Source organism: Homo sapiens, chromosome 2 (genome assembly GCF_000001405.40).
Source record: "Homo sapiens chromosome 2, GRCh38.p14 Primary Assembly".
Taxonomy (NCBI): Eukaryota; Metazoa; Chordata; class Mammalia; order Primates; family Hominidae; genus Homo; species Homo sapiens.
Window position 1 is genome coordinate 134,381,000 of NC_000002.12, and position 14,822 is coordinate 134,395,821.

The 14,822-nt window shown below is 40.5% G+C and overlaps 1 protein-coding gene across 21 annotated transcripts in view, besides 1 other annotated feature; it reads left to right on the top strand.

Moving 5' to 3' along the window:
- The window catches only part of MGAT5 (alpha-1,6-mannosylglycoprotein 6-beta-N-acetylglucosaminyltransferase), a 334,687-nt gene that overhangs the window by 261,065 nt on the left and 58,800 nt on the right, over positions 1–14,822 (top strand). The gene's annotated exons all lie outside the window — the stretch shown is intronic.
- Positions 10,954–11,063: an enhancer, noted in NCBI's record as "active region_16562". NCBI's record gives its function as "activates an Ori minimal core promoter by ATAC-STARR-seq in GM12878 lymphoblastoid cells {active_cell/tissue: GM12878}" and the evidence as "EXISTENCE:reporter gene assay evidence [ECO:0000049][PMID:35858748]".

A 14,822-nucleotide genomic window follows, 5' to 3' on the forward strand; every position in this document is an offset into this window, starting at 1 on the left:
GTTGCCCCCCTTTCTTGCTCTTTTTAAAATCCACCTACCTCCCCCCATCCCAAATTCCGATGAAGTCCTTGCATATAGAAGAGCCCATGCAATCATTTGTGGAAATGAATTCTGAACTCTTTGAATCATGGGAAGATTGAATTTTGCCTGATTATAATGACTATTATAGCTGGGTATGGTGGTGTGTTCCTTCAGTCACAGCTACTTGAGAAGATGAGGTAAGAGGATTGCTTGAAGCCAGGACGATTGCTTGTATTGTAGTTAGCCATCATCATGTTTGTGAATGCACTCCACTGCACTCCAGCCTGGGCAGCATAGCAAGACCTGTCTCATAGATAGATAGATAGATAGATAGATAGATAGATAGATAAGATAAGATAGATTAGATAGATAGATAGATAGATAGATAGATAGATAGATAGATAGATAGATAGCCTGGGCAACATAGCAAGACCTGTCTGGTAGGTAGGTAGGTAGGTAGAGAAATAGACAGACCAGACAGACAGACAGACCAGACAGACAGACAGACAGACAGACAGATAGATAGATAGATAGATAGCACTACAGCCTGGGCAACATAGCAAGACCTGTCTCTAAAATAGATAGACAGACAGACAGACAAACAGGAGAGATTAGCCAGAGAGAGATTAGATAGAATCATTATAGTTCCAGGAAAGGGTGGTTGGCTTCCTACTTTCCATGGAAATGCAAACAGTTTTCCAAAATCCTGCCCAGGCTCTTAAATGCAAGTCTTAGTCTTAGCTTCTTCAAATTTTGTAATTGGCTTTTGTGGACTTGGTCTTTAGGTTTGTTCTCTAAATCATTTCAATTTGTAATTCTTTAGAAGTTGATTTTTAGCTGCTTCCTGGACCCTGCTTAAGCATGAACATAGGTTTTTTATGGTAAAAATACATTTGAAATGTATATTCTTAATAAAAACAAAAATTATTTTTCTAATAGAGCCTGGTTATATGAAACAAGTTTGGGTTTTCAGGAATTGAGAAGTGTCTGACCCCATTCTTAATGCTACCCCTGGAGCTTTGCTATGGTTCTCAGCCAAGCTGTTGCTCTTTGGAATCACCCGGAGAGCCATTAAAACCCCAGTGATGGCCAGGTACAGTGGCTCACATCTGTAATCCCAGCACGTTGGGAGGCCAAAGCAGGAGGGTCACTTGAAGCCAGGAGTTTGAGGCTGTAGTGAGCTATGATCATGCCGCTATACTCCAGCCTGGGCAACAGCAATACCCTGTCTAAAAAAAAAAAATAAAGTCCTAGTGCCCAGGCCCAGCTCCAGATCAGTAGATCAGATCTCTGACATTGTGATAGAAGCTCCCCAGGTGATTATAATATGCAACAAAGGTTGAAAACTGCTGTTCTGGAGACTTTTCTATTGTGTCGAAATAGGAAGACTGAGGTTGCCCAGAATGCTTCTTTAAAGAGTGTTTTTCAAATATCGTGTGCCTGAAAATCATGGGTGGAACTCGTCAAAAGCAGTACCACCCTTAGGGATTTGGCTACAGTAAAGCTAAATATAGGGCCTTAGGAACACGAGTATTCTAGGTGATTTGATACAGGTAGTGGAGGAACCAAACTTAGGTAGAGCTTTTAAGCCTGTACCTCCCCAGCTAATTCTTGGGCGTTCCAGGATTGAACACTACTGTGAAGGTTTGGGAGTAGACCAGAAGATCTCTTGGTGGACTTCTACTTCTCAAAGTCCTGGTTGCCTACTTCTACCATTTCCTTTGTCAGACCTGCTGAGGCCAACAGCCCACTGAACATTGGGGCGGCCAGACTGCTCCCAACAGATACCATGAATTTCTGCACCCACAGCTTGAGCTGTGTGCACATCAAATGTTGAGAGAGTTTACTACCAAACCTGTTTATGCCACATATTTGTGTTGTAATTATGTAGTATCATTAACACATAAACTGATGAAATATAAATGTGAAAAGTAAGAGCACGCACTTCTATATAAACTTAGTTGGTAGCTTTGGAAAGATTTGATAGAGGTGAGTCCTTTTAAAATATTGCTGTTAAATTTGGGGTAGTCAAGGTACCAGTAAAATAATGGGGAAGTTCACAAAAATGTGGAGCCTGCATTTAACTTGCTCTGCAAGTATTTTTACACTTACCTGACATTTTAAAGAGATTTCAGAGACAGCGTTATAGTTTTATGGTAAAATGTTCGTGATACATGGGTATCACTTTTTACTTTGCCTGCATCAGAGGATTTTTTCTATTAGTTCATCACCTATTTCTCCCTCTTCTGAATAAAAAACAATGAGCAATGATATCTGCTGTGGTTAGGTCAGACTGCTGTGATTAGCCATTAACATACTCACCTGAGCATTTAATTTTCTGCTTATTATTTAAACAATACACAATTTAATGAACTTTGTATTTTTCTTATAAAACGCCAAATGCCTCCAATTTAAATCAAGCACTGAAAGGAGAGTATTAGTCAAGTACTTTATTACTAATCTAGCTATTGAACTGTACTTCATTGAAAGATTTGCTTTTGAAATTGTTTTGTTCCTGCTGGCTGCCCCAGGCTGTTTTAAATACTGCTGTTGTCCACTTCTGCAGCTGGTATCCACTTGTTTTTATATTAATAATACAGGGATTAATCTCAAAGCTCTAAATCAGTAGTTCACAAACTGCAGCCCACATACCTGTCACCTGTTTTTGTATAGCCAATGAGCTAAGCATTTTTTTTTTTTTTTGAGACAGTCTCACTGTGTCGCCCAGGCTGGAGTGCAGTGGCACGATCTTGGCTCACTGCAAGCTCCGCCTCCTGGGTTCACACCATTCTCCTGCCTCAGGCGCCCACCACCATGCCCGGCTAATTTTTTGTATTTTTTAGTAGAGACGGGGTTTTACCGTGTTAGCCAGGATGGTCTTTATATCCTGACCTCGTCACCGCCTGCCTCGGCCTCCCAAAGTGCTGGGATTACAGGTGTCAGCCACCGCGCCTGGCCGCTTAAGCATGGTTTTTATGTTTTTAAACTATTGAGAAAGAATCAAAAGAAGGGTATATTGGACATAAAAATTTTATGTAATTCACATTTCAATGTCCCATAAAGTTTCAGTGGGACACATCTAAGGTCATTTGTTTACTACTGTCTGTGGCTGCTTTTGAGCATCAGTGGTAGAGTTGAGTACCATAGGGACCTCATGGTACACAAAGACTAAAATATTTATTATCCGGCCCTTGAAAAAAAAAAAAAAAGTCATCATCCTCTCATCCAGATGTACGCTGTGCCCAAGTCCTAGGCTTTTTCTCTCTCTCTCTCCGGGCATACAATGCTCTTGCCCCTACAAGTTCCTTCCTGTCCACTATCCTTTTTGATTGAGGGTTTGTTTGGAAACTGCCTTTGAAAGTAAATGTGTTGAATGTAACTGGTTCAGTTTTTCAGGGTTCTTTCTTCACCGGCTTCATTGGAGCCAATCCCCTTTGTACATAAGAACCAAACTCCTAGTTCTTACTAGAACTGTGAACCACAAAATATTAGTAAAACAAAGTCTCAGTTAAAAAAAATATGGATTCTTTATAACTATTTGATTTTTACAATTACACATTTAACTTAAATTTCTCAAGTTCACATTTGATGGCACCAGAAGTACACTTACCTTTCGGAAGTTTGGTGTACAAGCATTTATGCTATATCATGATATCTGCATTTCTGAAAAATCTTGAAAACTACAGATTCAAAGTGATAGAATTTATGATAAAAGTAAGGGCCAAACCACTGCAAATCAAATCTACACATTTTTGAACAACAGCAGTTATAAAAATAACAATCCAAATAAAAATGGTAGAGTGAAAACATTTAAAAGCTAAAAAGCAAATACTATAGTAAATATACAACTTTACCTTTAAAAAGGTCAAATTAGCATGCTGGGGGTGGGAATGGTTTGAGGCTACTTTTAGTTTAGAGAAAGAAGGGTAAGATGCACCTGACCTTTCCTGATGGAAGAGAACTCCACAGAAGCATGTCCATGGAAGAGCCATGGCTACACATACTGGGCTGGAAACTAGTCATGGTATACAGTACTATACCCTCTGCAGATTACTACCTGTAGCTGAGTAAATGTATCTTATATTAAGCTGCTGTTATTGATTCTACAAAATAATAATGTGCTGGAGAAAAATGGTTATGAACCAAAGTGACTTACATGTTCTGTTTACATCATTTCCTACTTATCCTTCGTCTATGAGATAATTGACATTAGAGAAACACACATTTTAGCAGAACCCACTGTACTTCTTTCTTCATTCTCTGAGTCTATCTCTCCAAGTACTGCTATGCATTAAACAGCAATAGCAGCAAAACCTGCCTCATAATAACCAGCAAAAAATCAAGCAGATATCAAATAAGCATTAAAAATTTCAGGTCAGCATTTATGTCAAGACAGCATGTATATACCACAATATATATTAAATCCAAAGAGAAGGAAGAATAAAAGTGTGACTAGAATGTCCTTAGTCACTTAATCCTTCTTGTGCCATCAAAAGCCCCTCACTCCCTCGCTATGGCTCCTGACTTCAGAAGCCCTCAGCTGCTGATTGAGTAGACCTGGGGTGTTCAATCACAAGTGGAGGGCAGAGGACAACATAGTTTTTAATGCCACCAAAATTCGAGGTAGTAAGGTAAGTATGGTTTTTAAAAGGTACACACGTAAGGTTGGATATTTATAAATACATACGAAACATACATAGGGCATGACAATTAAAAAATGAAAAGTTTTGACAATATGACACTAGGGAAACATAAAGCCACTGAAGATAATATTGGGTATTTTTGGGAGGAGGAAGAAATGCAGATGATTAGGCTTGATAAATGCTTATTGAAAGGAAGATCGATTTAGCAGGGTTTTTTTGTTTGTTTTTACTTAGGGCATATAAAATAAGGTCATATTGGTTCTAATAGAGTGGGGAAATATGGAACAACTAAAAAGCTGTGCTAATCAACAGCAAAATCTCAGATGGTGAGATAAGATGTAAGAAGCACCTTGTTATCCGGCGGAACCACAACACAGTAAGCACTGGGGACATTTTGATCCGGTGACAAATTCTCAAAAAGGTGTCAGGGTAAAAATTTTGATGCAGAGTAAAATAATGTGTTATTTTAAGGTGTGCGAAATTAGCTTGCAGTTGGACCATGGAAAAATCACTTAAGCATCAGGATGAGAAGCTGTCAGAGGCAAAATACGAAATATTTGAACCAACCATTGATAGGAAAAGCAAAAAACAGGAATGATGTCAGAGAAGTTAGAAGAAATGTCATTTAAACAAGAGACTACATAGAAAAAAATCAAATGTTGGCATTAAAATTTCCGGTAGTCAGAACATGCAAATGGGTTGGTGTATCAAATTAAGAATTACATTCAAATGTGAATATTAGATTAAACCGTAAAATAAAAAAATCTCTTAAAGAATTTCCTTTTTCTCTTAAAATAGATAAGTAAATCGCACTGCTTTAGTGGTCTGTTATTAGGGACTCCAGCTGCTTCTGTCTTTCAACTGTCATCTTAGTAATTGCATCTGCCCTCAGAGGCACTCTTGGTCCAAGATGGCTGCTGAAGCTCTAGCCATTAGGGCCTCAATTCACTTAGGAGGCAAAAGCAAGAAGTGAAGGATAAAAGAGTGTGTGTTTCTCTGCTGAGGCAGCCCCCTCTAAAGAGCTTTCTCTGAAGCTGTGTCTAGTCTTTACCTACTCCTAGTTACTAGGGAGATTAGGAAATTTCAACTACTATTGCTGCCCCAAGAAAAAGTGAGATTCTGTTCATAAGGAAAAGGGGATATCTTTGCATTAGATAAAGGGGTAGAGAAGTAGTTCTATATGCTTAGGAAATATGTATATATGGGATATCTCAAAATAAGGAAAAGTTGGAGTGAAGATTAAAATAGAAAATAACAAAATGTTAACACACTAAGACTACACAAGAGACCATTTGGCCAGATAAAAGATATGTATGAGCCGGGTGCGGTGGCTCACACATGTAATCCCATCACTTTGGGAGGCCAAGGTGGGCAGATCACCTGAGGTCAGGAGTTTGAGACCAGCCTGACCAACATGGAGAAACCCTATCTCTACTAAAAATACAAAATTAGCTGGGCATGGTGGCACATGCCTGTAATCCCAGCTACTCGGGAGGCTGAGGCAGGAGAATTGCTTGAACCCGGGAGGTGGAGGTTGCAGTGAGCCGAGATTGCTCCCTTGCACTCCAGCCTGGGCACCAAGAGTGAACTCCATCTCAAAAATAAAAAATAAAAATAAAAAATAAAAAGTTATGTATGATATATATATATATATATATATATATATATATTTTTTTTTTTTTTTTTTTTTACCAAACCAGCACAGAAACTAGATTTCATAGAGTATTGGTTAAGAACTGTGTTCCAATCCTGGTTCTATCGGCTAACTTATTAGAGGACTAGAGGACCTTAAGCAAGTTTCTGGGCCTGAGTTTGTCTGTCTGTAAAGCAGAAACAGGAGTCTATTCTACCTAAGATCGTTGTAAGGATTAGCTGGAATGAGGCAAGTAAAGTCTTCCTACAGAGCTGAGCACACAGGAGGCAACATGCCCACTAACATGGCTGAGCCATTTTCCGCTAGAAGTTCCTGCAGCTGGTAACAAAACACCTAGCAAGCTCTTGCTGCATGCTACCTCATGTTGGAGGGAAGGAGAAGAATCATCATTCTAATGACTTGGTTCTGAACAGCACAAAAGAGTTTGGTGAAGGGGAACAAAAAAAGACACGAATATTGGGAGAAAGCTGCCCATTTATAGCCACAGATGGTTGAGTATTCAAATGTGTACCCAAGAGCTCCAAAGTCCAGTGATGGGAATTTGCCTCTCAACAGAAGACTAAGAATGGAGACCTCCAATGGAAGGTGACTTATAAGGTGATTGTTAAAGAATCAGGGTACTTTCCACATGTAATTCTTTGATGACAGCTCTTCCAATAATGAGAAGTCAGGAGACTCCAAAATCTCCAGCTAAAATTCATGGGGATCAGAGCCTTGGATTTTAGAAGGATGCACAAAAGATGAGTAGAAGGGAGGCACAGAACTAACATGGAAGGTCCCTAAAGCTCAAAATTGCCACCTCTTCCCAAAAAGTCAAGGACAATGAAAAAGAAAGTGTTCTTTCTCTCCACTTTGAGTATTTGAAAGCTTTTCTCAGAATAAACTGTGATGACTCTTTTTCTTTAAATTTTGCCACGAAACATTTCTAATAAAAGAATTGTATAATGAGCCCCCATGTACCTCTCACCCAGCTTCACCAATGATCAACTCACAGCCAGTCATGTTTCCTCCTTATCTGCCCTCCGCCCCCAGAATATTGTGAAGCAAATTCAAGACATCTTATTCTTTCATTATTAAAGTATTTCAGTATAGTATGTATCTCTAAGATATGAAGATCTTTAAAAAAAAAACCCACTGCTATTACACCTGAAAATAATTAACAGTAAATTTTTTAATATTGAAATATACAGGGTTCAGATTTCTTAGATTGTCTCGATTTTTTCATTTTATTTAAATAAAGATGCAAATAAGATCCACACATTGTGATTGGGTAGATTCTTTAAGTGTCCTTTAACAGGAGCTTATTTGTTATACCAGGTTATTTATCCTGTAGAGTTGCCCACAGTCTAAATTTTACTAATTGCATACCTGTGGTCTTCCTCCAGTATATTTTCTGAAGTTGGTAGATGAGATACAGCAGCCTGATCAAATTCAGGTTTGATTTTTTTGGGGGGTGGGGGGGTGGTCGGAGTCTCGCTCTGTTGCCCAAACTGGAGTGCAGTGGTGCAATCTCAGCTCACTGCAACCTCCACCTCCCGGTTCAAGCAATTCTCCTGCCTCAGCCTCCTGGGTAGCTGTTATTACAGGTGCACACCACCACATCTGGCCAATTTTTGTATTTTTAGTAGAGATGGGGTTTCACCATGTTGGCCAGGCTGGTCTCAAACTCTTGATCTCCAGTGATCGGCCTGCCTCGGCCTCCCAAAGTGCTGGGATTGGCCTCCCCAAGTGCCTGAGCCACCGCCCCCAGCCCAGGTTTGATTTTTGCAGGGCTACTTTATAAGGGGTTTTGAGGTATTGGCATCAGGAGGCACATAATGTCCGGTTATCTTGCTTTTTTCTTCATGTTAGCAGCCATTAAGAATAACTGCCTAGACCCATTAGTTCATTAGTACTTGCTAGTGATAGTCTAATTAAGTGTCTTTATGAACTCACTTAATTTAAATATATTTGTTTTCCAGTCCATTGCATTCTATGCTGACGAGTAATGCTATATTGACTAGTAAATATAGCTTGTAAAGACTAAGCTTGGGAATCTCTGAAAAGTCATCTCAGGAAACAGACCTAGACAACATCTGCACTAAGCTAGCACCCTCTGTCTTTTCCAGATTTGCTCCTTTTTTAAAGGAAGGCTGTTTCTCACTTTAATTTTTCTAAGTGGCGTTTAGCCTCAGCCTCTGTGCTACTCCATATGCTTTCCCAGCTGAACTATCAGACCAACCAGCTAGATAGGTTCCCTGGTGATTAATTTTTTCTTGGAGCCCCTGAGGCCTGTAGTCATGCACATATGGTGTCTAATGGCTTGGTGGATAACTGAGTTAATGGTGTGTGAAGGTGACCTGAATAAATTTGGAATCAAAACTAATACAGGTTATGGCAAGCTGGTCCCATCATAAATTTGGAGTACTTGTATTCTTGCCTAAGTAAGTGTTAGGTGACTCCTTTGGAGAGAAACTATGTGGTCCTGAGTTCAGAAATTCTGTTAAGGACACAGGAGACCAAATGCCTCCTCTTGTGAACCTTGTATTGAACATGTTCACTTTCCCTTTCTCACATTCAACTGGAGTTCAGAAAAATATCATCATTCTCCTTTTACAATTATTCTTTCTAAGCTGAGAACGTGAATAACTAGGACAGGCAGGGCGTTGGTGTGGTTTCATCACTTTTTCCCAATCCTTCCTGCAGTTTTTTGCAAGCCTTCCATTCCACGCTTCAGACTGCCACTGGGTCTTCAGTTTGTTTTTGATTGTTGGAGCCATGTCAATGAAAAAAGGCTGAGTTTGACCTCTCAATATATGGATACTAATTTATTGATAAAAATGGAGAGTAGAATAATGGTATTTATGGTATACAAATATTACACTGTAAAGAAACACATTCCTATTTTTTTGTGCATCCCCGTGGATCATCTCGTGCATCCCCTTTTTGAGGTTCACTTTTTAGATCAGGCACTGCTTGAGGTGCCAGCAAAACAGCTACCCTCCAATCAAATCAAACACCAAAAACAAAATCCAACTTCAGTTACTTTGTTTGTTTGTTTGTTTGTTTTTTTATTATACTTTTTCTAGGGTACATGTGCACAACGTGCAGGTTTGTTACATATGTATACATGTGCCATGTTGGTGTGCTGCACCCATTAACTCGTCATTTACATTAGGTATATCTCCTAATGCTATCTTTTTTAAATCAGAAAATATAGAAAGGAATTATTTTTATTTCAATATATGTTTCTTTTGTTTTCAGAAATTAAAGAGTATTCAAATCACATGGCAGAACCCTGTAACTATTTTAAATGTAGGACTAATCCAAAGACTTTAACCTTGTCCTATGTCTACTGTTATTTTCATGGAGGAGTCTGTCTTAACAAACACAGATTTATGTCACATGATATGTATTCTGTCTGAAAACACTTCCCCCTAACCCTCCCGCCCCCAAATCTAAGTGAAATATAATGGTCACTGATTTTTGGTAAAAATAGTTGCTGCAGAGTTCCTTTAACATAGCAAGTTATTTGGGCCTAGGTCTCCACTGAAGTGGGCCATTTCCAACCTCTCTGTATGGTTTCTTTTACTGGATAAACGTCTCTTCTTTAGCATCTTTTATGCCATCTCTCAGACTTTTGCCTCTCTTTGTCTTGTTTCAGACCCTAAAGGTCTTCGTTTCTTGGACTCCTATTTCTTTTAGCATGTGTCAATTGAGCAACTTCAGATGCTGTTGATCTAGAATATCTGATCAGGTCCTTGCCCCACTGAAGCTTGGAATCAAGTAAGAGGAGGGGACATATTGAACTCTCAAGCAGTGTTTAACCAGGTGGGAGACAGCAATAAGCAGAGGATTAGGGCTCCATTGGCTGGGGATGGGGATTGAGTGCTGAGAGAGTTGAGGAGGTAGGTGGTGCCGTTAGTGATCTGCTTGAGGAAACCATCCAAAAGAGGCTACCACTTGGAGCTCTTCAAAAGGGGTCTTACCTGGGGTGGTGAATGGCAGGATGGCACTTCTAAGCAGGAGAGAGTGTCTTGAACAAAGACTGGAAACTACAGTTAGTTAGCCTTGGCTGAGTGTTTGGGCTGCTGTGATAAAGTACCATAGACTAGGTGACTTATAAATAGCAGAAATTTATTTCTCACAGTTCTGGAGGCTGAAAGTCTGAGATCAGGGTGCCACTATGGTTGGGTTCTGGTGAGGGCCCTCTTCTGGGTTACAGACAGCCAATGTCTTATCCTTACCTGGTGGAAAGAGTGACCTAGATCTCTGGTCTCTTCTTAAAAGGGCACTATTCCTATCCATGAGGACTTCACCCTTGTGACCTCTTTACTTCCCACAGGCCTCACCTCCTAGTACCATCACAGGGGGGATAAGGATTTCAATAGCGGGGATATGAATTTTGGGGGACACAGACAATTAGTCTGTAACAATCCTGGACGTGGGATGGACAAGAAAGACTTGGCTAGAATAGAACCACAAGGTTGAGAAGTCATGAGAAGAATCCTTTGTAGTTTGAGTCACTTAACCACATTATCTCATGTGATCCTTTGGGCCTCTCCAGGAGGGAGGGTGGTTATTACCTGAAGAGTCCAGGTGCAGGTGGGTGAAACCACTTCCCAAGGGCACATAGCCAGCAAAGGGCAATGTCAAAGTTTGAAATCCTGGTTTCCTGGCTCTGGGTCCTTCTCCCTTTTTCTTATAGACACACCTCTCTATAGGGTGTGTCGTGTTGGCATTGGTAACAGGGCAGAGCTTCAGCACTCAGAAGCTGCCTGAGAAATGGGGAGGAGGACGTAGAAAGTGAGAGATTTTCTGAAACCATTGATGAGTATGAGACCTCAGCTTTGCTTTACCAGTGTATTTTAATTGTTCCTGTTTTCAAACTGCTGCTTGCAAATTAGACACTTCAGCTGCTTTTCCTTTCAAATATGTTTATTTGCAGCATTTTAGATTGGAAGGTACTCTAATTAGAGTGATCACTTTTATTTTGCTATCTTCATGTTTTTAAGAAATCAGGAATGAGGTGAATAAATTTCAAGAGGCATGTGATTTATTTTGAGGAGAGAGATGGAGAGGATATTTTTAGCTTCTGTCTTAAAAATCAGCTCTTCATTTAAAGCCTGGTGGTCAGCTGTCCTTTAAAGGGACCTTACGCTGCTATACCTGAATCAGAATCTCAATCTGTACACCTCAAACACAAAGAGATCGTGCCTGGAATTTAGAAGTTTGTTCTTAGCTTGGTGGGAGCAGGGGAAGGAAGGAGCCCAAGAGAGTCTTGTGTTTTAAGTGGCCTGGTTTGTCACGTGTCAAGTCCCCGCCTACAACAACAGCATGTTGACACTCGGTATTCTGAGGGGAGAGATTATGTGCATTATTACCAGTGGACACATCCATCATCATGAAGCCATGGGTATTAATGCATATGGCATGGGGCTGAGTGCCTCAGCAAGGAAATTTAGCAAGCACAGCCCTACAACTAGAGCTTAAAATTAGAAATGCACCTTAGTGATGTGGCATAGTGGAAACCAGCCTATGCTGTCCCACCCAGAAGGGGGCACCCCTGGGTCAGTGGACCCAGCATCTAGGACAGAAAGCCCTTGGTGAGGGATGGGTCTGCCCCACACCACACGAAGGCATTGCATCCTCTGAGGTCCATGGTGTCCCCAATCTCAGCCATAACTAAGTGCTGGGTAGAGCTCTTTCAGATGCATGAGCCTTGGGGACAGCGAGTTTGTGAAAGAATGTGCCTTCACATAATAATTTAAAAATCTCATTTGTTTCCGTGAATACCCACGTGAGATAATAGGGCAGGTTTAATATTCCTTCATTTTACAGATAAGAAAACTGAACTTTGGGAACTTGCCGAAGTCCCATAAGAAGTTAGTCAGAGAACTGGAATAAAAACACAGATTACTTCATTCTTGACCCCAAACTGCCTGCTAAATTTTACACAAATATGGATAGGGCCCCAGAAAAGGCCAGATTACCTCAGATCAGTGTGGGAGGGCTGGCCTGCCTGTGTAAAGGCTATTTACAGACAGAGACCAATTCTCCCCTGTCTCCACTCTGAGTAATTAATGCCACCCCTTCTGTGAGACTGCTGGTAAGAGCTGCCAAGCATAAGGATCTTCAAAAAGTCTTGTCTTTTTGAAGCAGTGCTGTTTACCCTGCGTATAATTATTATAACAATGAGAGCTTCCTGGCACATTAAATTATGTCTTATTTGGAGTCTGTCATCCCCCGTGCAGACAATGAAGTCAAGAGCTGGGATGGCACCAGAAGGGGCATTGCAACCTGCCTGAATCTGGCTGTCCTGGTGTCCCCAGAGAGGTGCCTTTTATTATCTATTGGGGCTTCAAAGAGAGGAACATCTCCAAATACTACTCTAGAATCATATGATTTATTATTTTACAGTAAATTAAGCACTGAGTGAAATTGTTTCAGCCCTTGACTCTGTGCCGCCATGCTTCTCCACAACATGGTGGCCTGGTCTCATGTTTTATGTAATTCAGAATCAAACTAATGAAGCTGTCCTGGTTGCACCCCACCCCCACCCCCACCACCTGCTGCTTTGGAAGGATCCAGGGAGAAGCACATGCATATTGAGTGGAGTATAAACTCCTTCCTTATGTGTGGTGCATTGAATTCAGGCTGCCCTTTTTATTCCTAACTTTGAGAGGCTGGCAGGAAGGTAAGGCCCTTGGGATGAAAGGTAAAGGTGTGTACCATCCCATAGAAGTGGGCCCTGCCTCACACGCCTTTTTCCCTTTCTGGTTTCCCAATGAAACTGGGCCTTCTCCACTCATCCCACCTCCCAGATTTCTACATAATTACTATATATGAGACGTGCCCATTGGAGCTGCCAAATGTGATTTTGCAGACAGGTCTTATCTTTCTCCCTTGGTTGTAAGATAATTACAAGTAGAAAAGTTGGAAATTACAAGAAAGCAATTACTTTTCATCCTGGCCTGCAGAAATTGTGTTCTGCCAGTCACTGTGTGTGTTCGTATTTTTATATTTTGCTTCATATGAAAAAAAACTTTTTGAAATTAATTTTAAGAATGTTTCTTGATCAACTGAGTAAAGATCAATTGACATCTGCTAATACTGTCCTTTAACATGAATATATGAAGAGTATTACTTTGATGGAATCCCTCACAGATTTACAACAGTTAATACTGGAAAACACAAAATGTAATGTTATTCCTTACTAAGAGAGACCAATATATAGATAGAATTCTCCCCCCTTCTTGTTACCAAGAAATACACTAAAATGATTTAAAAGTATTAATGTATTACTTTATATTTTTCATATTATTTTTAATTTATTCTTTACTGATGTGATTGGGTGGTACTTGGCCTCTGTGGTTTGGTTCCTGGCCTTTGGGGCCTCAGTTTAATTTTCAGAGGAAGCCCCGTCACACCTACTGCCAGTGTGACCATGCAGTTTTCCAAAATTCTTCCCTGACAACTCTCACAGGATGGTCCTGTAATAATAGGAGACACTTCTCCCTTGCCTTTAAACAGTATCTGGCCAAGCTCATCAAGCTATCTCCTCCTTTCAGGAAAGGATATTCAGTCCATGATTTCCTGACCCTTTAGGGATTCTATAAAACATGCAATTTCAGTTTGCCAAGGCAAAACCTTCCACTGTGACAGCCCTCTTTGTCACTAAACAGTCTGTTTTCTGTGGTTACTGCCCAGATAGGTGGAAAACAGAAAGCTCTTGGAGGAGTTTGCTGACACATTTGGGCTGTGGTGGTGTGTTTTCAACCTACCAGCCTGTTTTCTGCATGGTAGTATAGCTGGTGGGCTTTGTTGCTTTAGGACCATGCCAATCAGAGTAGATGAAGGAACATCATTATCCGTAAGTGACTGCATTTGCATTGAGGAAAAGAGAAACCAGCTCTGCAATTTGAAGGCCTCCTGCCCTTCTTAAAGCAGAAAGGAGGTCATGCCAAAGGGTTTCTTGTTTTCATAAACTGGCTGGTGGTTCCCCAGGGTCCTTTAAGAGCCATTCGTTAAATGGCAGAAAGCTCTGTGCTAAGGCAGAGAAAATCCTGAAAAACAAAAGTGCTGGAAAATAGAGACCCACACTGACCAGTTCGGACTGAGAGATGTAGAGTGGGCATAAGCATTGGTTCCACATGGGCAGTGATGTGAAGATGCTAGCCAGCTCAGGACTCTCATGTCTAGCTTGTCCCGTTTTATGGCTTTGGAGTAGTATTAGCACCTTGTTTTTAAAAGCAAGGGTACATACTTAAACATATTTTAAATGCATTTTATTCCCAGTGCTGGCTCAGCACTGTACATGTAATAGTTGTCTAAAAGAACCATTAAGTGGTATTACTTCCTATTTATGGATGAGACATTTGCCATCAAGTTGCAAATACAGGACCATTGCTCTTTCCGTACCACCCATTTAGCCTCAGAAATCTCCCTATGTCTGTCTTTGGACCAGAAACCAAAATTCTCACCTAATTGGACAGTAGAGAATAATAAGTAAAGTGTTTGTGGCT